Raw genomic sequence first — 23,486 nt, 5'->3', positions numbered from 1 at the left:
TGCTTGGTGCTCTAGACGACTTAGTCCTGGCTTACCATACAGATTTCAGGCTGATGTGAGCTGTTGTTTGGAATCCAGACCCTCTTAAAATGCAGGGGTGGAGAATGAGGGTGCCAGGGGCTGGGGGATCTCCTGACCATTGGAAATTCCTCAGTCAAAAGATGAGGAGGGTGCAAGTGAGAAGGGGAGAAGGCATGCACTCTCCCAGTTCTGTCGGTCCCGTGGGTCTGCAGGGGCTACGTGGTCCAGGGGCACCCTGGCCGTGATTCTCATGCTGTGGCATGAGGAGGCAGGACTCCGGTTGTGTGAGCACTAGAGACAATGGGCAGTGAAGAAAAGGAAGGAAGAAGGGAGGACTATCTGGAAGAGAAGGTCTCCAAGACTTCAGCTGCCACGAGAAGCAACCCAGCCAGGTATTTTATGAAGTGATTTTCCTCACTGTCAATTATCAGAACCATACCGTTTCAGCTTTCTCGTCTCTTGCCTTAGTTTTAAGTTTTTCCTTCCCTCTTTTCTCACCTTTCTATACTTGGTTTTCTCCACGGCCCAGCCTATTGGACCTAGTCTGTGGATTTCTACATACTGTCCTGGATAAGGAAATGGAGGTTATTTTAGTTGTGCTGACCCCACAATTAAGGAGGCTTTAGAGCAGTGGTTCCTGAAGGATTTTTCACAGGAGATATTAATTAGCATTATGTGAAATAAAAGGCTCTAGAGGTTTCACAGGTTTCAGAATTTCTTGGTTAAATCGTGTTAACTAGACATCTCTACTGCAGGATGTCTTTTAGCCTTCAGTATTCAAATAATCTTTGCAAAATATACAGGAACAGGATATAGCATGCAGCACTTCTATCTACCCATCTATCTTTCTACCTGCCTACCCACCATGGAATCTGTTTTTAATAAAATTTCTTTGGATCAGTGTTTTGTGGAAGAAAATTTGAGAAATGCTGACTTGGAAAATGCTGGGAGCCAATAAGGAAATAAGAATATATATTTCACTAATAACCAAAATGAACATCGCAGAGGTGGTAAGATATAAATAGAGACACTTTGAAGTCAGACAGACTAGATCTGGAATCCCAATTCAGCCGTTGTTAGTGATGTTGAGAAATTTGCTTGAACTTTCTGAGACTTAGTTTCTTTGGGTTGGAATGAAGGCAATTTTAGCTTCTTCTGGGTTGTGATGAGAAAAAGAGAGACCAAAGAACTTAGTAAAAGATACATAGGTAAAGGATCATGGTTACTCCAGTTAGAACTGTGAACTCATGAGGCCAATGCATGAAATAAGTATATAAAAATGGGTTTAAAGATCATCTAATATAAACTTTTCATGTAATAAGTGACACAACTGAGTCCTAAAGAGATTAGGTGACTTGCCCATGGTCACTAATTAGCGATCTAGTTATTGGCAGAAGTGAGATCATCAAGATTCTTCTTCTTTACCCAAATACTAAAAACCACAACTTTGGGAATTTACAAGGAAAAAATAATTCTTGGTTCTTTTTTGTTTGTTTTTGTTGTTTTCTCAAGAGTTTATTATGTATAGTTCATATATTGAAAGTTTTAGATGTAACAACTGTCTTCTCCCAGCCTAATATCTGTACACCAATTTTCCCAACTATTGACTACTACACAATATGTTATTTCCCTATTAATTTGTGATGGCATCTTTATCCTATATCAAGTATAATAAAAAAATTCTTCATTCTTAATAATAATATTGATGGGCTGGGCACAGTGGCTGACACCTATAATCCCAGCACTTTGGAAGGCTGAGGCAGGTGGATCACTTGAGCCCAGGAGTTCGAGACCAGCCTGGGCAACATGGCAAAACCCCATCTCTACAAAAAATACAAAAATTAGCCAGGCGTGATGGTACATGCCTGTAGTCCCAGACGCTCGGGAGGCTGAGGCAGGAGGATGGCTTGAGCCTGGGAGGTCGAGGCTGCAGTGAGCTGTGTTTGTGCCACTGTATGCCAGCCTGGGTGACAGTGAGATTCTTTCTCAAATAATAATAATAATAATAATAGTAATAATAATATTGATGGGGAAACTGAGGTTTAAGTTGGAAGTCTTTAAGATTATATGATTAGGCAATATTAGCATTATGTGAGTGCATGGCTACAGTCCTTTCTTTCTGTTCTAAACCCCTTGGAGCTCCACAGCTCTGAGATGCCCTTTAGTGTAGGTTTGCCCTGTACTGTGTGTGCTCCTCACCCCTTTCCTCAGAAATGCCCCGTACCTCTCTGACTCAGGATGACGCTACGAAACTGACATGCAATTATTAGCCTCATTCTAGCTACTATGGGTTTTTGTGTAGTTTGCAGGGCATCATTTTATTGTGTGCACATGCATTTTTACATTCCTGTGACTATTTGCTTTTTGTTCAACTTTGAGTGCATGTGTTTGTCTCATATTCCCCAACAGGTTATAATATCTATAGTCGAGGATGGAAAAAAAGTAGGCAGGATACTAACATTTTTTGAGTGCCAGATATCTATCAGGAACCAAATTAGATACCCTCACATAAGCCATTGCATTTAATCCCCACACCAACTGTCTGACCAGTGAGGAAACTGAGGCTCAGAAGGATGTGCTGACTTGACTCAAATGTCCAGCACAGCGAGCATTCAAACCCAGGCCCATCTGCTTCTCAAGATCACACTTTCTCTGAGGCATCATCTTGTCTGTTCTGCAAACCTTCTCCAGGACAATGCACAGCACAGGTGCTCAGTAAATATTTACAAATCATGATAAAAGTGCTTTCTTTACAACGTGGAGAATATTCACTTGCAAGTCTATGCTTTGGAAGTTAATTTAAAAACCAGTGGAAAATTTACCCCAAACTTGTGGGAAATGAATTGAAGCTACAAGATGAGAAATAACTTGTGATCATGAAAGCAGTAGAATATTGTATTAAGTTCACATAAATACTGGCCAAGCACTGCTCATTCAGAGCAAAGTGCCAGCCGGCATATTTTGGGCATCTCAAATTGCCACTAGACCCTGCATCTATGCACATGAAGGCAAAACTGTTTCAGAAGCATTCTGAGCTAGACTTTGGGATTAGTTTCATCAACCACCATCCAACAGTGAAGGGACTGGACAGTGTATGTGGCTCTAGGCTCTTTGCTGAGCTTGCTGCAGACAGACCATTGCTCTACCCCCACTGTCAGGATCAGAGTGGTTCTCTTTTCTTTGAGAAGTGATCACTTGCCATGTTCAAACGCTGCAAGAATCTTCCCATCCTCCTTTGAGTCTGGCACCCTCATCATCTATCGCTACTTGACGTGAGTTTCCATAGCCAGTGGTGTGAACATGCTTCCTGCTTTGTTAAACCCCTTTCTACATGATTTGACTAATCTACGGAGCAGTACCCAGGAATGGTAAATCTAGACAACGACAAAGAAGCACTACAGTATATGAGTAGATTCTTGGTAAACTAATTTTTTCCCTGCCACTCTCAAAGCAATATAAACTTTGTTGTTCCTCCTGGATCTCAAATGCGTGTAATAAATTCTTTGAAATGCCAGTAATGTTGAACTGAGAGTTTTTTAAAGGAGATTTTCTTTCTTTCATAAAAGGAAAAATTGTCCCTTGCAGAGTATATGGATAAATATGTTATGTTTATTTTATTCAGTACTTAATACAGTTGGGTAAAGGGATTCTCATTTCCCACCCGATCTCTCACTGAATGAGTGAATCATGAATGAAGCCCTCAATTTTCTGGAAGGTAGTATAAACAGAAATAAATTCATACTCTTTTATATCTTTAGGCTAATCAACATTTGCTTAACAAATTTATAGCATACAAAAGCATTCTCATCAGTATGTTATATTTGATTTTCATAACTCTCTGAGCTTAGATGGATTTTCTTTTCCATAGTAATAAAGTTTTCTTTGGCTTTTTAGCCAAGAGGAAACCTTGCCTACCCCATGTGGATTCTTCCAGTTTTCCAAAGGTCCTCAGAACTCGGATTGCTCTGAGAGAATGTTGTCTACATAGTGATACTTCCATTATTTTTACTAAACTTACTTAATTTCATAAAATCATAAATTAGTTCAGTGAAAAATGTCAGCCAAAAGAGTTATTTGATTGTCATAACATTTCAGTTCCATCAAAAATAATTGCTTTATTAGATCTGTGCAATGAAGAAGATGGATTTCTAGCCCCTTCCTTGCCCCAATTTGTTATCCAACATGCATTTGTTTTTCTACTGTGCAAAATTTGGTGCAATGTTCAAGTTCAACTAGAAAGTGAGATCAAAGACCTGGCCGAAATTTACAATGGACAGAATGTCATTGACTTTGGCGGATTTTTGCTAACTAAATCATTTAGACAGCCAGTAGCAAAGCTGAGAGGGATGAGGGTGAGATGAATGAGGCACTCATTTCAGGAACCAAATTTAAAGGTGTGTCCAGAAACGTAGTAATCAAGATGAATAAGACCTTACTACAATATTTTAAGAATGAGTGCCAAAAATTCATGATCACTAAATGTTCATATGACTGATTTTTTTCTTTTGCCTCAGACTCCAATATGGCTCAATACTGTTACTGATCCTGCATTTAAAAATTTGAAATTTTGTTGTTCATAGACTTTTGGCGTTCATTTTGATTTTTGAAAATATTTCATTCAAACATTATCTGAATTTTTGAGTACACCCTTAAATTCTGCATCTGAGATGAGTGCTTCCAAGCCTCACCATCATCTCAGTCCTGGCTAGGAGAATTCTGCGTAGTGATTTAGCCCTGTGTAGGTAGAGAGATGTCTGAGTTCTATATTTACAGTAGCCACACAAAGGAGTTATATGAATACACCCACAGAGTCACCCAACTCTACACAGTTTTAGGGGTTTGTAACATAAAACTCCAATGGAACTGAAGGAGTTCTAGAAAGTATTTAATTTTACCCCCTCCCTTTTATAGATGAAAAAACAAACCTAGTCCCACAGAGCCTTGAGTAATATTGTGGTAAACCGATTAAGACTAATTGCTGGGGGGGGAGGGGGTTTGGCCTAGGACACTGGGTCTTTTCCATAGGGCAGACCCATGATTGGAGACCATTTGCTTTAGAGAACTTGAAAGTCCCGTAGGTCTAGCTCCTTCCCAAGGCTTTGGGCTCTTTATTTTAAAAAGTGATAATGTACCACCTTCTCCCATTATGTATGCACTTTGGAACTTAGTACTAAGTTTGCCAGTGGGAAAATATCTCAAATGGGAAGACCAGAAGGCAATGCCCACTGCGCAACAGAGGTGGGATTCCGATGCAGTTTTACTCTGCTGTGCCTGAGTGGTAACTAGACCTTTCCATTAGCAAATGCACATGGTTGAGAATACATTTCACGCTCTCAAGCAACTTCACCTCCGAGGAGGTGACCGTGCCCCTCATTCCTCATATAAGCACAGATAGTTTTCACTGTCCAATTCCTACTGATCTCTCTCTCCCTCTGTTATTTATTAAAATGTGCAATAGAACAAGAAAAGGAAAAGATTATCCTGCGTCCTGCCATGCAAGATGGTACGTGGGAGGCCAAGGTTAAATGCAGCATTTGGTTTCTTAAGCTTCTCTAATGTATAGGTGTGGAAAAGCAATCTGGGACCAGAGCTTATAGCAGTGACTCTCTGAGGATAAAAACTTGACTTTAATTTGGACTCTCTGGCTAAGATAAAATCTGCTTCTGCTATCATTATCCCACTTATGTTTGTCCTCCACTCTCTTTTCACTCTGCCACCCAGCTGAGTGGGAAGAAATTAACCTGACCTTGAAGAATACTCAGAGAATCTTCAGGACCATCAAGTTTTCAATAGCCAATAAAATTCCAGAGGCCTACTAACATTGAGATTATAGATTCATAGGCCTGAAAAAGACCTCAGACCACACGGATGAGGGAAATGAAGTCCAGAGAGCTAAAGTGACCTATCCAAAGTTATGAGTTAGTTGGAGGCAGGGTCAGAACTAGAAGGGGGACTCAAGCCCTCCGGTTACCCTCTTCCACCTACACCATGACTGGGCTCCAACCATGCCCAGCATATCTCCAGACCACTCAAGAGGGAATATGTGCACAATAGGGCTTTTATAAGATGTCTGAAATTTTACCAGTGCAAATAAAAACTCCCAAGGAGTTTTCTTTTCAAGAAAATTCTTCTTAAAGGTCATAGAAAGGAGGCTTTTATTTCACCATTCTTATGCTTATGGGGTCTCTATCCAGATTAAAATTACGTATTGAATTTTTTTTTTTTTTTTACCTAGATCATGTTTTTTGCCCCAAAAGATTGCTTCCATTTATGTTTCTGCTTCTATCAAACACAGTCTATATTTTTAGTTTTAGATTCAGGCACAGCCTGTGGACTGTGGGTTTGAGCAAAAATAAGGAGTATGGACTGCTCTCCATCCTGGCACCCAAGGACTAAATTCAGCTCACAGTGCATCTTGTTTGTCCCACACACTGTTTTTATAAATTTGATTTTGGGTTCTACAACCAAGATTACTTTACTTATTTACAGGGACTGCTAGGCCCTGAAGACCTCTGCCCTTGCATTTCCTGTCTAGAACTTCTCTCCTCAAGCCTCCTGGGCAAGAACGAAGCCATGGGTGGGTGGGTCCTGAGTCTCAATGGAGAATCTATAGACAGATCTCCAGGGGCAGCTTCTAGAGTCTGCTTTAGACCACCAGACCTCCTATAATGCTGAGTGATCAAAATTAATAAACAAAGTGATCCCCCTACCTGTGCGTCTCTGAAAGGATAATACTTTAGACTCCTATCTATCTTAAAACAACTTGGTTTTGTAAATGTAATCCTTTTCACAGAATTCAGTAAAAGAGTAAAATAAAATTACACTGCAATATTGCAGAAAAGCCTGATACGAGGTATTTGGATAATTTTTGTTTAGAGTGTTACTACCTACCAACACTATTAATTTTTTTTCATCTCAGGAAATGACCTCACCCAAATATAACACACAACCTACTTACATTTATTTTTTTCTAAAGATATGGGAGCATCTGCACAGTTTTAGAAATAATTGTTGTCCTCCAAAGTTTTGTTTTTAAAGCAAAAAACCTAATTGACTGGCTTTCCCTGGTAATCTACATTGCATAGTTCTAAACTAATATCTCTCCAGCAGATTTTTGAATAATGTAAAAAGATAAAGCCCACATGAAAATAAAGGGTTGTAAAATAAAATTTAGGCTATCATACATGAATTTAGTTGATCTTTATTCCCTTAATAATCTTCAAACAAAAACACTTTATAAAGATCATTAGTTTGGAGAGTTAAATATCTTTGCAATTCCTTTTAAACAGTTTTCTTTTTAAAAAGTTCAAACATTCCATGTTCCACAAACTCAAAAAGCCTGCAGCTAGTGTAAAAATTTTTTTTAAACCAAAATATTCTCTATTTCCTTTATACATGCCTGTAGTAAAGGAAAAAAGTCCTTTTATGCCTACCGACACAGATTTGTTTAACATCTTCTCAGTAATGTTTTAAAAAAAATTTGTAGCAAGTCACTCATTTGGTGGTCATCTGTTAGATCCACAGAAGTTAGAGTAACAGCTCCTCTATATTTAAATGTACTCTAAACATATTTATTAAGTTTATAAGTTAAAACTTCAAAAATGAAAAATTAGAATATTCTCTCAGTGTTACAAAGAAAGAAATGTAGCTCTGAGCCTTCATTTGTTGCAAAACCAAAACAAAACAAACAGCCCTGGGATTTCCACGAGAAACTGTTAGGAGAACTTTCGGAAATTCCCCTAAGTTTATTTTCATGAGGCTGCGTGGTCACTTCATCTAAAGTCCTGTCAACAGTCATTCAACAGGGCTTGTCTTCACTGGGATCTCACTGGCCAACAGAAATTTATAAAACACTGACAGTGTTCAGGGAAGGCTGAGGTCCACAGAGCTCAAAACTTTCACCTAACAGGAAGGAATACTGGACTATATCGGACAACTGGGGACACACCTAAGTAATTTCACTCCTCAAGGAAGGGCAATATTTTTCTTTGGTAATTTTACCTATTTTGGTGCCTGGAATAGAGAAATTAGATGGTATATAGGTACATCTAATGTAAGTGTTCTTAAAAAGCATTAAATTAATTTTTTGGAATAATAAAGTTGAATCCCAAATGCTGCCAACATTAAGGTTGCTGTAATCATGCCTTCTGTAAATTTGATGACACCTGCTCTTTCAGTAGGTGTCAAGTGGACAATGAAGACGTTTTTGGACCATGTTCATTTTAGTCCTAGGTCAAAGGTGTTACGTTGTCTCACCATCGTAAGAATTGTATAAATACATCTTGAAACTCCACTCATGAAAATGTTCAAATTGAAAGTAGCCCTGGCCCAAGAGCCCAGAAAAACACAATGACTCATCTCTCCCAAATGTGTTCATTTCTAGGAATGCTTTGGGCCACACCACTGAGAATCCAAATTGGAAGAGACAAAGCTATGGGACAACAAACTAAGTTCTAAAATACCAAGTCTCTAATCCACCTGCCTTTCTGTCCGTGTACCAACCTGTCTTTATTTTGTATACTTTTCTATTTAGGAGCCAAGGATACCATCGCTACTGTCATTCTCAGGCTGGGGAGAGCCGGACTGACTGAGGTTTATACCCACCACTATGGCAAGGGGATGAGATGGCACTTGAAACAGGTCCACAGGCTGCTCACTCTGTTTAACTTTGTCACAGTACTACAAATACACGAGATTGTCTGAAATCTCACAGGGAAAAATGTCATTGTGCAAGTCAAAGAATGGATGGCTTGGCTGAGTTATTAATTTCTGGATCTGATATGATGACATCACAGTCATTATGTTTTGAAGCTAATTTATTTTAAAGACACCTAAGTTAAAAATGGTTTTCTGAAGTTTAAAGTCATATATATATATATATATATATGAATGCACCTATCCATTCCTTCTCAATAGGTAGGTTATAGATGAGCTCTCATGGTTAGCCTGAAATATCTATTTATGAAGCTCTCAGCCTCACAGTAATAAAGTAAACCTATAGAAGTTTTATTCCTTTATAAAGATGCATATTGGTTGAGGCTCTTGGCATGAATTTAGAGTACTTGTTAGTCTGTGGAGTAATGGTTGGAATCTGGGACATAAGACTGGGGCTAAATTTCTTTGCCCTCCTAACCCCAGAGAGTCTTTAGAAAAATAGAAACAAAAGAGCACAAAGTACTTAAGGTGAGACACTGTTGTATTCATAATATAGAGAAATAACCACCATGCCTCATGGACAGTAGATGCAGTTCTCCATGGGGCTACAAAACTGTGCTAGTAATAATTTTAATTGGATGCTATCTTTGCTGCCTTCAAAAAGTATCATAAAATGGAATTATTACAGGCTCCAAATGCACTTATAGTGCTGGCCTCTCACAGAAGGAAACAGATAACATTTATCCTTTGGAGGGCAACAGAAATGGGCTTCTATTTGTTTCGTTTACATGCATCCCCAGTTGCCTTCTAGTTGCTTCTTCTTCCCTATGTCTAAGAGATCAATTTGAATTAGATGCTGCAGAACTGGATGCTAAGTTTTGTGTGGTCCCTCTGCCTTTGGGGATGGCACCACCCCATGGAAAGGTCCTTGGTGCTCCTAGGGGCAGACGGGAAGCACGGGGAGCATACCTGTAGAGGATTGGGTGGCGTGAGCGGTGAAGGCAGGCCATGTCCTGGAGACTGACTAGGTTTCTGCGGGGGGCTGGAGCTCTGCTGGGTTGGAGATGGTTGGTTCTGGTTCTGGGAGTGGGAGTGGGGTTGGTGCTGCTGGGGCTGAGGCGCCTGTTGCAGCTGAGATGTAGGAGCTGGCGGCTGCTGAGAGGCGGGTGGTGGCTGCTGGGGTGGGGTGGGCTGCAGCGGCTGCTGCTGGGACTGCGAGGGCGCCTGTGGGGCTGGTTGCGGGTGCTGGTTGGTTGACGGGGGAGGCTGCTGCTGCTGCTGCTGCTGCTGCTGCTGGAGCTGGAGCTGGAGCTGCTGGAGCTGGGAGTTCAGGGATGAGGTAGCTACAAGGAGAGAAAGCGAATGTGGAGTGAGATAACATGACAAAGTGTCTTGCTGGGTCTTGACAGCCTGTCCAGTGCAAGTGGAGAAGGGTTTCCTTTAGAAAATTCTTGTCCTTGCCCCCTGAAGCTCTTTGGTATTTAAGAGTGTTGTGAGGCACTGGGAGAACAAAGGTCACTTCTGGGGAAAGTTTAGAATTTCTGGAGGACCAGCATATAACACATCAGGCATTACTTTAAAAGGTGGTGAACAATGCAAGCCAAAGGTGTGTGGTAGGAATGGAGATTGTTTTTTAACTACTTTCTCTCTCTCTTCCTTTCCATACTGCATGGGAAATACATTCATGCTTCAAGATTTCATTTAGATTGTTGAAGTCCAACCAGTTTAGTTGTTTTGGTAAGTGTTTGACTGGAGTTAAGAACAAAAAACCAATTGTTTGCAATTGCCTTTACATCCATCATCAATATCATTAATGGTATCATTTTCACTTGCTACTTCAGATCTCCACCCAGTTGCTTAGATGTCTTAGTGTCAAATTTCTAACTGTTTTTTTTTTTTTTTAAAAATTCAAAAGCAGTACATGCTTCTCCATTTTGCAGGGTCAAAAGCCTGAGTCTGAATTTTTTGCCTGCTGATTAAAGAGACAGAACCCCTAAACTGGAGGGATGATAGCAGGTGACTGAACCAAACAGTGTGGTGATTAGACATCAGCACCTGAGGACAGGACAGCACCTAAGGACTGAGGGAATGAAATCATCTTTTAAGATCTTGTTATGAGAAAGGTAGAGTTGGTGGGAGAAAGTGTCTTAGCACTGAGCACGCAAAATTTGTTCTCACATGCCCATGTAGCACTGAACAATTTCTGCAGAAGGAAGCTGGTTAGTTTGACCTAAGAATGGTCTAGAGAAATTTACGGCTAAAAACCAAGTTCACTTTCTTTTTTGCCTAAATCTCAATCTAAAAGCTTTCTAACAAGCCCATGAACAAATAAACATATAAGGATCAATGTCAAACCCACAGGCCTTAGAGGAAAGTGTAGCTGTATTGGTGAAATGACGATGCAACCATTTCCAGGGGTATCAAATACCAATTCTGTGATCTCACATACCATGTAGGGCTTCCAACTTGGTCCAGTTGGGATAGCAAGTCCTCACTGAGCCACTGAACTGCTCTAGGTCTATGCAAGCAGTCCAGTGTGTGGCCTGCCTTGCGTGTAGAGCCAGGGTGTTCTGGGGCTTGTGATGTAATCGTAGAGATAGAGATGGCATGAGGGAGGCCTGGAAAGTACCCCGGCATCATCCCGTTTATTAGACCTTTTAGAGAAAGGCCTGCTTTTGCCATTTCCCCCTTTCTTCTAGTTTACAAAATCACATTTTATCAAAGATGTGGGAGCCCTGCTCTATTCTGACCTCCCTAGATCTTCTGCAGTCTGGAGGATCCTGGGGCAGGGGAGCCTGATCTCTTCTTCTGGTGGAGTTCCAGACTTCAGGGACTTGATTGCATCTGGCCTCCTGCCTGATTCAAATCGAACCTAACCTGATGTCTTTCAGGTGGGGGCACATATGTTAATGCTTATTTCCATGGTTGACTTAAATACCATACTGCTTCATTTTGGTTAGAAAAGCATTTATCTAAATCAGCATTTAGAAACAGGAAAGTCTGGGAATATTGGCAGATAGATGTTGGCAGACGGGTAGGTACAGCAGACCCTAACCTACTAATGAGCCTTGGTCCCAAATATGTCTCCCTTCCTCCATATCCGTAAGTTCATATTGCTTGGGTATTTGTTTTCCATAACAGCAGCTTGACTGGAAAGGCATAAACCTAAGCCTTTGAGTTACATAGACTAATTTGACATCTGCAAGCAAAAAATAATACAGAATTAAATATGTTCAGGTATACACCAGATGCAAAGGAAAGCAGGAGGGGCATATATGAACGTAACTTGGGTCTGAAAAACACCAAAGCCACCTACACACTAACATGAAAATGAGAGTTAAAAAATGTGAAAATATAGTGCATCGAAGTGGCTCATTGTGTAAAGCATAGTGAAATATGACAGAGAAGAATGAGAAAATAAGATGAGTACAGTTAGGAAGGTTCAAGGATGTATTAATATTTGAACTACAAAGAATGTTTGCAGATAAAATGATGCTTGTTGGGGTAAAATTCTGACCCTAAGCAGGGAAGGTTAAAGACTTTACTTTCTTCCCTGGTATTTATTCCCTTTTATGATGGTTTCCTCTCTGTCTTGTTACTATACACGACATAGGCCAATGTTAAATGTAAAATTTAACTGCAGAAACAGCAGCTATGAAAGGAAAAGGGATACACAGAAATACATTCTGAAAATTTACTTTAAATTTTTGAAAAAGAAACACAAAACAAAATTTCATCAAACCAAATTTCCTAGAGAGAAGAGAGAGTTACGGTAAAGCCGTGTCTTGAAACTTCCCAAATAAATAATTTAACATGACAAAGAAGCCAAGAATCCTGCATTTCTCAATTTGTTCAGTTTCTATATATTAGCTGTAAATTGTAAACAATTTCTCATATTGAATCTTTGTTAAAAGTTTCCTCAGTAAACCCCTACACATAAACGGAGCCACATCATCAGAGGTAGCAGAATTGTATCGGATGGGATTTACACAAGAAAAGTCAAAAGCACTTGAAAAGCAAGTCTGTGGAAGATTCTGGAAAAATACAAATGTGTTCTATACTTAGCAATGTACAGAAGGAAAAATGGTGCTCAAATGCTAAAGGAAGTATGATTTCTAGCAACATCCTAACCTACTTTATGCCAAAATATAAGACCATACTATTATAAGCACTCTAGTCAGCATCTCCACTTCAGCATTTACTTGGACTTCTCAGGCTCAGGCAAATGTGGGCATGGCTGGCAAACTGGTGGATTGGGTGTGAAAGCCTATTAGGAAGGAGAACAGCCATTACTCACTGCTGTTCACATACCTCCAGGTATGTCTGGGAGCTGGAGTAGACTCATCTGGATATGTTTACAGAGGGCAGAAAACCCACGCTGAGGAGGAAGGAAGCAGCAGGGCTTATCACTGAAAGTGACCAGGAATCCTGGAAAGAAGCCTTGTGGTAATGCTTATCCAAACCCATCCTCATCCCAGCCCCTCGGTGCAAGCCTGGTCCTAAGGAGAGAAAGAACACCAAGGAAAAACAAGAAGAGTAACCTTGAAAATATGACACTAAGTGAAAGAAGCCAGACAGCCTTGGCCACATTTCATTCATATGAAATGTCCAGAATAAGTGAGTCCATAGAGACAGAAGGCAGAGGAGTGGATGCCAGGCTCTGAAGGTGGAAGGGATGGGGAGGAGATGCCAGTGGGTGTGAGTTTCCTTTTAAGGTGAAGAAATAATTCTGAAACTAGACAGTGGAAATGGTTGGACAAAACTGAAAATATACTTAATGTCACTGAATCATACATTTAGTTAATAGTTAAAATAGATTTAATAAAGTGTTAAATAGTTAAAGTGGCAAGTTGTATGTTATGTGTATTGTACTACAAGAAAAGAGCTGTTTGTCTATATTCACACACTGGGGACCAAGTTACATTGCCCTGGGAAGCCAAAGGGCAAGAGCATACTTCTCCTTTGCTCTTCATGGCTTTATGGTCCTGAGGGGTCAGGGCAGCCACCAGCAAGGGCTGTCCTGTTGGAGCCACAGGAGAGCCTTGGCCAGGATGCCGGCACAGGGAGAAACACATTGTGCCTACTGGAAAGGCACAGGATTGGCAGGGCAGGGCGTTGGGAACTGTGGACTCATTTTCAGGTGCACACAAGACCCCACCCCAATGGCTTCGAGAAATGCTGGGGAAGACTTGGAAGCTGGACACTGAGCAGGCACAGAACAGCCAAGGAAATTTCGGTTAAAAGTAAGACAGTGCTTCACAGTTTGAAGATACCTTCATTTAATATGATGAATTAGCTTTTCAAGACAACTGTATGGATAGATGGTGTTATTGCCATGTTATACATATAGAACTCAGTCTCAGAAAGGTTAAGTGACCTTCCCAAGTTTACACAGCCAGTGAATACCCTGGGCACTTCCCAAAACCTCTTACATGACAGGATTATTTGTAATGATGAGGCAACCAATTTTCTCCTAAGGGTTTGACCACAGAAGACTGCTCACATGCAGAAAGATGCGCTCCGTGGCTGTGCTTGTGAGAAGAGGTGGCTCAGGTATCTCATTATTGAGCCTAAATTGAAGGGTCTGCTTGTTCGGCTCCTGGGAAAGTGTACAGTTGTACCTCAGTCCTACTGCAGGCAAATCATTTGTTTAAAGCCTGCTGATGAGAAATGTAAATGTGTGTTTCAAAGATAAAGATGCTAATTTGAGTATGAGCCACGAGTTATTATAAGGAACAGAGAAACATGGCTGTTATTATAAGCAACAGAGTGGTTGCAGGAAGGGAGGTGAGAGGTATGAATGGAAGGGAGGTGGAGAAGGGCCATGGTACATGTTATTCATACCACTAGTTTACCTTGATGGTAAGAAAATGCCTCCTCCATGCTTAGACATAGGGCGGCAGCAGCTCTGTGCTCAGGCTTGGTGCCAGTTTAAGGAAAGTAACTAGGCATCAGTTTACCTTGTCCACAGAACTCTGTGACATATTGTCTCTAGAGTATCTCCGGGGTGGCATCTAAGATTTCCCCAGCTGGATTTGTCCCTAACTGGGGGAAGCAACTCCCAGATCAGCCCCAGTTGTAAAGAATCAATGGGCCCATGGAAAAACCTGTGTTCCCTGATGTAGCCTTTGCCTCCCTAACTCTGTATTTATTGTGTGCTTTTGCTCCCCACTAAGATCTCTAGAAGAAGAAAAAACAGGAATCTTGAACATCCCAAAAGGAGGAATCTGAATTAGTAAATGGAACATCCACACATGCCCATTAGGTAAGAATATCTCAGGGAGCTGAACCAAGGATGCAAATCAGAAACCCCTTCTGGTGTCCCCAGTAAGGGTATCCCTAGCCTGCACCCGCAGATGGAAGTTTTGCAAAGTCGATGGGAAAAGGTAGATGGCTGCGGACTGGGGATTTTGAAAAAGTGTAGAAGGTGAAAACTTGCTGGGAGGTCTGCCTTTATTCTTTTTTTTTTTTAATTTTTCAAATTTTAGATTCAGGAGGTATATGTGCATGTTTGTTACGTGAGTCGATTGTGTATAATAGTGGTAATTTGGCTTCTAATGTACCCATTCCTCAAATATTGAACATTGTACTCCAGAGGTAATTTTTCATCTGTCATATGCCTCCAATCCTCCCTGTTTTGGAGTCCTCAGTGTCTACTATTTCTATTTTTATGTTCATGTGTACCCAGAATTCTGTCTTTATTCTTGGCAACAATGTCAGAAACAAGCAAAGTCAATTCTGCCTCAGAGTCTATGATGTGTGACCATCTTGCATATGGTCAGTGTTATCAGCTCCAGAAGTATTGCTACACATGTCCTTAATCTGTCTTTTTGCTTCTTTTGCATTTAAGGCAGAGATCTAAGTGTCTCTTGAGATGTCAGGGGAAAATAAAGATAAATTCTTCTAATGAAAACATCCCTACACATTTCCTTGTATTGTCTGAGCCACCCAAGCTTCTTTCTTAGGTTGATTGTTTCTGCCAACTCTAGCAGCCTATCTCAAATTGTGGACCAGAATCACCAAGGGAGCTTGTAAGGAAATTAGATTCCAGGGAGTAGGGCAAAATCTGCATTCTAAAGACCTACCTCAGGGGATTGGGAACCATTACCCTTGGGGCTCCTAGCAGCCCTACAGGGAGCTGCAGCAAGTGGGGAGGGTGCGACTTTTCCCTTGACTTTCAACCAGATCAGCTTGCAAATGCAGCTCCCCAACACTGAGACTATTTTTATATTTATTTATTTATTTTTGAGACAAAGTCTCACTCTGTCACCCAGGCTGGAGTGCAGTGGCACAATCTTGGCTCACTGCAACCTCTGCCTCCCAGGTTCAAGCGATTCTCCTGCCTCAGCCTCCCGAGTAGCTGGGACTATAGGCGCGTGCCACTGTGCCAGGCTAATTTTTTGTATTTTTGGTAGAGATGGGGTTTCACCATGTTAGCCAGGCTGGTCTTGGTCTCCTGACCTCGTGATCTGCCTGCCTCAGCCTCCCAAAGTGCTGGGATTATAGGTGTGAGCCACCACGCCCGGCCTGAGACTATTTCTTTTAAACAAATTGTTCTGCCATTAGAAAAAAAAAATTGAAACAAGATCATTGGTTGGAAAGAAAAGAAATAGACATCTGGAAATCACCCAGTGTTCTTTAGTGCCTTTTGTTTTGGAAATTAGGGGAATTCACCAACCACTACCGCCTTTGTTGACATTTTAGGGCACACTTACTGGAATGTTTTAGGACAGGTTAAGTCTGAGACCTAATATTAGCTTTTAGATACCTCATTAAATAGGAAAGATAAAAAGCGAAGGATGTAAAGTAGAATGTAGAAGCTATGCAGGACTACCCCAGGGGAGCTGCACCTGCTCAGCAAAGTGTTGGGGGCGGGGGCTAAGCACTCAGAGGTGGCAAGTCCCCCATGAGTTCCCAGGGGGTGCTTGCTGAGGTCTCTTTATGGAACAGCTGACTTCCCCACTATTTCCACCTGCAGAATAACCCCATCTAGGCCTAAAATCTCAAAAAAGTAAGAGAAAGAAATTGAGAAAACATTCTAATGTGGATGTGGGCACCCCAAAGTAAAGTGCTTCTCCTCTCACCTACCCTAAAAAAGCCAGTCAGCCTACAATCTCACCCCAAAACACTGAGCTCTCCATTGCTTTTCCCAGTCCTTCCAGTTGTCTACTGAGTGCCAACCAAGATGAAAGAAAAACAATCCACACCTAGACTATTCCCCCATGAAACTGCAGGACACCAAAGATAAAGATCTTTTAAAATCCAAAAAGATTTTGGAGAGAAAATGAAGGGCCACATACAAAGAAACATAAATCAAACTGCTATCATACCTCTCAATAGCAAAACTATATAGCTAAAATCAGAGGACCAATGCCTTCAAAGTTCTGAGAGAAAGTTATCTCCCACCAAGAATTCTATTGCTAACTCAACTGTCTGGCCAGGGCCAGAGCAGACGAAGGCCCATTTTGGAACTTACAAAGACTTAGACATCTTCTCTTTACATAATTTTATCCTTACATACTTTTTCTTACAAAGTTGAATAGGTACTTCAGCAAAATAAGGTTATGAACTAAGGAAGAGGAAGACAAAGGACCCAGGAAACAGCGTTGAAGTCACTCAAGAGAGCAACACAAGGGAGCCCCACTGTGACAGCTGTATAGCAGTTCTAGACAGCAGCCAGTCCACAGCAGAGCATAGGGGCAGAGGCTGTAAGGGGAAAAATCTGCAGAAAAAAGGGGGATTCCATAGTAATGAAAAAATATCTCAGATTTTGGAAGAATCTGAGAATGTGAAAAAAGAAACAAGAAAATTCAGGAAAAATCAAAGCTGTCAGGGAAAGTCACAATCCAAATATGAAGCAGCTGTTCCAAATTAAAACAAGAAGTCATTGAGCTTCCAGGAGAAAAACTGTTGGATTCAATGCTGAAGAAAAAGTAAGAAATGAAAAGATGCTAGCCACTTCCTAAAGAAGATACACATTTCTTTTTATAATAACACTAATAATAATGATTTCAAAAGGAAGGGCAATAAGAAATTTCTGGCAAAACAAACAAACAGCATAAGAAACAAATGCATGGTTTTATGAGAAACAATAGGAGAAACAAACATAAACCAATTGTGCAATAAAATGTGATGTACTACTTATCAGGGAAATGCCTTTCAAAACCACAGCGAGGCCGGGCGCGGTGGCTCACGCCTGTAATCCCAACACTCTGGGAGGCCGAGGCGGCCAGGTCACTTGAGGTCAGGAGTTCGAGACCAGCCTGGCCAACGTGGTGAAACCCCGTCTCTACTAAAAAATATACAAAAATTAGCTGGGCGTGGTGGCGTGTGCCTGTAGTCCCAGCTACTCAGGAGGTTGAGGCAGGAGAATCGCTTGGACCCAGGAGGTGGAGGTTGCAGTGAGCCGAGATCGCACCACTGCACTCCAGCCAGAGTGACAGAGCGAGACTCCATTTCAAAAACAACAACAACAAAACAAAACAAAACAAAACCGGAGTGAGATACCACCTCACTCCGTTAAAATGGTTATTATCTAAAAGACAGAAAACAAGCATTGGTGAGGACGTGAAGAGGGAACACTTACATACTATTGGTGGGATTTCAAACTAAGACAGCCTTTGTGGAAAACAGCATAGAGGTTCCTCAAAAAGTCTAAAATGGAACTACTATATAATCTAGCAATCCCACTATTAGATGTATATACAAAGACAAATCAATATAGTCAAAGAGACATCTGTACCCTCATGTTTACTGCAGCACTATTCACAACAGCCAAGATATGGAATCAACCTAAGTGTCCAGCAACTGTGAATGGATAAAGAAAATGTGGTACATATCCATAACGGAATACTGTTTAGCCATAAAATGAATGAAATTCTGTCATTTGCAGCAACATAAATGAACCCCGAGGACATTATGTTAAGTGAGATAAACCAGACACAAAAAGACAAATACCACATGATCTCACTCATATGTGGCATCTAAAAAAGAAAAGCCATAGAAGCAGAGAGTAGAACAGTGTTTACCAGAGAGTGGGGAAGGGTCAGGGGAGGAGAGGCAAAGCTTGGTCAATGGGTACAGACTTAAAATTAGATAGGAGGAGTAAGTTCTGGTGTTCTGTTGCACAGTAGGGTGACTGGGTAACAGTAAGGTATTGTACATTACAAAGTAGCTAGAAGAGAAAATGATAAATGCACGAAATAATGAATACAACATAGATATGCATGGAAATATCAAATGGTAACCCACAAATATGTACAATTTCAATGTCAATTAAAATAAACAACTTAATTGAAAGTAAAATGTGGTGTGATTTTGAGCATTTGGTGGAGTATGAAAGGATGATGCACTTGGGTGTTTTCTTTGAGTGGCACTAAAATCCACACTGAGAGGAATACTTGATCACTGCGTATTTTTTTGGCTCTGCAGGAAATAATAAGGTAGCCATATTAAAGTCAAGAGTGTTTACTGACTTGCAATTTTTGGAACAACCTATAAACAAAGCATGAAAGATTTCACGAGAACACAAAAGCTATCATCCTTGACCACGTGGAAGGGAATGCTTGGTGGGAGGGAGGAGGGGAAGGGAGGACCGGGGTACTACGTGGAGAGTAAAGAGATGGCTCTGCAGTTGACAGAACAAATAGAGACTTAAACATGCTACTTAAAATTATACAGTTAACTAAAAATCGTGCTATGCTTCTCTTTGGAGCAGGGAGAAAAAGAGAGTGAGAGATGTTGTAAGTGAACTAAACCCTCATACTCCATAGCAGGAAATGAACAGATGATATATCAAGTTAATAAAAGACAGAGATAAACTGGAAGTCTTTGGAAATACGGAGGTAAACTCATAAAGCCTAAAACCAGAAACGGTTAAATGTGATTCTCCTGGGGAGTAATCCTGAGGGTGGAGAGGAGGATGGCTGAGAACTTAGCATGTTTTCAGAAGCCTTGTGGATTGAATTGATTTTTAACCACATGCATGTATTACATTGATAAAAAATTTAAACAAAAATTAGTTTCAAAACTATGGCTACATTTTATATTATAACAGCAAATTCCTATGTTTTAGGCACTGTTTTAAGTATTTGACGTTAATTTCTTCATTGGTTTTCTCAACAACCTTATAAAGTAAGTCTCCTAAATTGGACTCTCTCAGATGCAGACCCTGACCTAAGGATTTGAGTGCAAATGATTTAAAGAAGGGCTCCCAAGAAAAACCAGGAGGGGAGTGAGGACAGCAGGATGGGAGGGCAAGAAGCCAAGCAAAGACAGGATTTCAGGGCAAGTCCCAGCCTCATCCTGATTCCAGGGAGCTCTGAAGCATAAATGACACCTTGAGGTTTATCCTGCCTCACAGAGTCCCTCTATTCCCTTGACTTCTCCCAACACCAGTGAATCATTGATTCCAGCTGGGGACGGGGCATAAACTCCAAAACATTTTGACTTTCCGTAAGGGGGCGGTGACTTCGGTGCCTAAGAATCAAATGACTTCTAAGAATCAAAGTATATATTTTAAAACTATTATCAGAGGTGTTTATACTATGTAACAGGCCATGTTAAAGTACTCTTAAGAAAGTAGAAATTGCCCTCAGAGAGGCAAGCTATGAATTTCCATGGAGCAAATTTATAATGGGTTGGTGAAAGCACAATCATATCAGGTCTTCTTGGCTTGCTTTCTGTCTCATATACACAGACATATAATAATAATATATTATTATATTTATTATATATTATACAATTATATATATTTACAATAATATATACCATGTAATTATATTTTATACAGATTTACAATGTTATGTATAATATATATATTACACCAAGCCATATTAAAGACACAGATGGCTTCCCATTTATTTGCTGCTTATAGTCTCACTGTGATATGAGCAATTATACACATGGGATAAAATAATATTGAGCCACTGTAAATTGAGATGAAGTAACCGTTTTCATATCTTCTGCATGGACTAGACATTGTTTCTGTCTAGTATATCTAAATATCCTTGAACTGGTGAAGGTTTTAACATATTGACAGAAACTAAGTGTCTATCAGATGAAGGTTAGTCATTACGGGAAGTACAGAAAGACGGCATCACAGAAGCCAATTCTGAGGTTGGAGTGGTGGTCGGAGGCCATGCCCTATCTGGTCCAGCTGGCAGGCATATCCCACTGTGTAGACACATGTGGCCATTATATCTCTGAATAAATTGACATGTCAAGTCCTGTATTTATACTCATCTTGCAACCTTCTGACAAGATAAGGATTTTCATGGAATTGTCCTTTACAAGTAGAGAAGGTGTTGATCAAAGGGCAATAATATTAGCGCCCCTTGACAATTATATTTCTCTTTGTAAATTAAAACGGGCATTCTGGTTTTATAATCTATCTTCTTCAGTTTGAGTCAGCATTGTGATATTCTGATCCAGCCTAGGACACTAATTAAATTGAGTTTCTTGCCATAGGCTGAGATCTAGACCCTATACAGGACCAAATTCATCTTTGGCTCCACTGATGATACCAACTGTGGCATGAACCTTCTCTTGAAAAGTCAACAATAGATATTTGTTCCCGATAGATTAAGAAATATTCCCTAGGACTATTCCACAGGATGCTAGTTGCCACATATGTTCCATGAAAAACAAGTGTCCAATGGCCAAAAAAATTATTTGGGAGATCCTGCATGTTTCATCCTATTTTTGGAAATCCAGTGAGCATTAGAATATTAATGGCTAGAATTTCAGCATTAAAGAAACCCGATTCGGTCGGGTGCGGTGGCTCACGCCTGTAATCCCAGCACTTTGGGAGGCCAAGGCAGGTGGATCACGAGGTCAGGAGATCAAGACCATCCTGGCCAACATGGTGAAACCCCATCTCTCCTAAAAATACAAAAATTAGCTGGGTGTGGTGGTGTGCACCTGTAGTCCCAGCTACTTGGGAGGCTGAGGCAGGAGAATTGCTTGAACCTGGGAGACGGAGGTTGCAGTGAGCTGAGATCATGCCACTGCACTCCAGCCTGGGCGACAGAGCAAGACTCTGTCTCAAAAAAAAGAAACCCAATTAGCATTTTCTATCCAATACTGACCAAACTCATTTGACCTTGGAACACCATCTTTTTTTTTTTTTTGACACAAACTAATGCATACATATATGGAACTAATATTATTGGCGGGGGGGTCCACTTAGAAATAACCTGAAGGTGTCACTGTCTTTGTTGTCAGACATGACTGTTTTACAAATGAAGAAATTTTATATATATGTCTATATATATATGTACACAGAATTTTATATATATATGATTTATATATTTTATATCAGGATCTCTGGAGAACATGATGAACTATTTTCAATATAAAATAAACATAATAAAATTCTTTTTCTTTTTTAGAGTGGGGAGTCTCACTATGTTGCCCAGCCTGGCCTTGATCTCCTGGACTCAAGCAATCCTCTCAGAGTAGCTGGGACTACAGGCATATACCACCATACCTAGTTTGCCTATTGATATTCTTCTTTACCCCTAAGAAGATTGTATGTGTTAATCCATATGTCAAGCTTATCCAGTGTGATGAAACTGGCGAATTCACACTGAAGAGAAACTTTGAAGGTAATAAACATCCTTGACTGATAAAAAATACGAAGGTGTTAAAATATAAATATGTGTTAAGTGGGTATGTGCGTATGAATTTCTGTTTTTTTTTTTTTTGAGACAGAGTCTCCCTCTGTCACCCAGGCTGGAGTGCAGTGGCGTGATCTCAGCTCCCTGCAAGCTCCACCTCCTGGGTTCACGCCATTCTCCTGCCTCAGCCTCCCAAGTAGCTGGGACTACAGGCGCCCGCCACCACGCCAGGCTGATTTTTTGTATTTTTAGTAGAGACGGGGTTTCACAGTGTTAGCCAGGATGGTCTCAATCTCCTGACCTCGTGATACGCCCACCTCAGCCTCCTAAAATGCTGGGATTATAGGTGTGAGCCTCCATGCCTGTCCTGAATTTCTTAATAAATGCAGTTTTCATGAAGGCAAAGTATTTCAGATAGTCTGGTAGGAAAGGAGAAAGAAATACAAAATAGGGTCTTAAAGTGTGCAAAGGTGGGAAACTGGAGCTGGGACTTTTCTGACCAACTAGGACAACCTGGGGCTTAGCTGAACTCTCCCCAGGCTCTGGGAAAGCATCATTGTTATGGATTTTCAGCTGTGAGGAGCTTGGTATGAAAATTCTGCTCCTCGAATAAGCCTACAGCATGAGTTAAAGAAAAAAATGCAGTTCTATCAATACTAAACATTTTAACAAGATCTTCTTTAAGACAAAAAATTTAAATAACCCTCTTCTGCCTTTTCCCATCAAATTTCAAGTATTTTCCAGGTGTTAATGCAATAGCAAATTAGAACTCCTAGGGTTTGAGTGGGCATTTTGACTTAATTCTGGTGGATAGATTCTACATGTTCCTTGATTTTGCTTAATTGATGTTTGGATAACCTGCAAGGAATCCATAGACTGTTTATGGAAACATTGATTCTTGATTTGAAATCTGTTTGCTCAGCAGATGGGACCAAATTTATCCATCAGAGAATCTTGCCTTCACACAAGAACTAGTAGTATTCTTTCCTTACAGAGTTTGGCAGAGGATTGGTGAAGAACATGGCAGAAACAATGGGACTCTCCTTGGATAACGGTTCTTTGTGCTTTGCAAATTCTCCAATACGTGGATAACCAAGTGGTTGTTGTTGTTTTTCTAGAAGTCTGAGATTCACTGTCTATGCCTCACTGTCTTCTTGAAACCAAATGAGTTTAAGGACAGAATATACATTT

The 23,486-nt window shown here is 40.5% G+C and overlaps 1 protein-coding gene, 1 long non-coding RNA gene and 1 other non-coding gene across 7 annotated transcripts in view; 2 read left to right on the top strand and 1 right to left on the bottom strand.

Moving 5' to 3' along the window:
• Nucleotides 1–23,486, bottom strand: part of POU6F2 (POU class 6 homeobox 2) — a 490,693-nt gene that overhangs the window by 118,941 nt on the left and 348,266 nt on the right. For all 5 annotated transcript variants that reach the window (NM_007252.4, NM_001166018.2, NM_001370959.1 and 2 more), the window contains one exon: nucleotides 9,646–10,019. In NM_007252.4, the coding sequence (NP_009183.3) occupies nucleotides 9,646–10,019 (374 nt within the window). The remainder of the gene's footprint in view (nucleotides 1–9,645; nucleotides 10,020–23,486) is intronic.
• On the top strand, nucleotides 10,541–22,104 carry LOC105375239 (uncharacterized). The gene is made up of 3 exons (XR_927187.3): nucleotides 10,541–14,941; nucleotides 19,394–19,520; nucleotides 22,068–22,104. It is a non-coding gene; the product is annotated as an uncharacterized LOC105375239 (long non-coding RNA).
• Nucleotides 20,527–20,658, top strand: SNORA20B (small nucleolar RNA, H/ACA box 20B). The gene has a single exon (NR_145730.1). It is a non-coding gene; the product is annotated as a small nucleolar RNA, H/ACA box 20B (small nucleolar RNA).

This window comes from Homo sapiens, chromosome 7 (assembly GCF_000001405.40).
Source record: "Homo sapiens chromosome 7, GRCh38.p14 Primary Assembly".
Classification (NCBI taxonomy): Eukaryota; Metazoa; Chordata; class Mammalia; order Primates; family Hominidae; genus Homo; species Homo sapiens.
The sequence above is the reverse complement of the archived record's forward strand: the minus strand, read 5'-3'. Positions and strand labels throughout refer to the sequence as shown.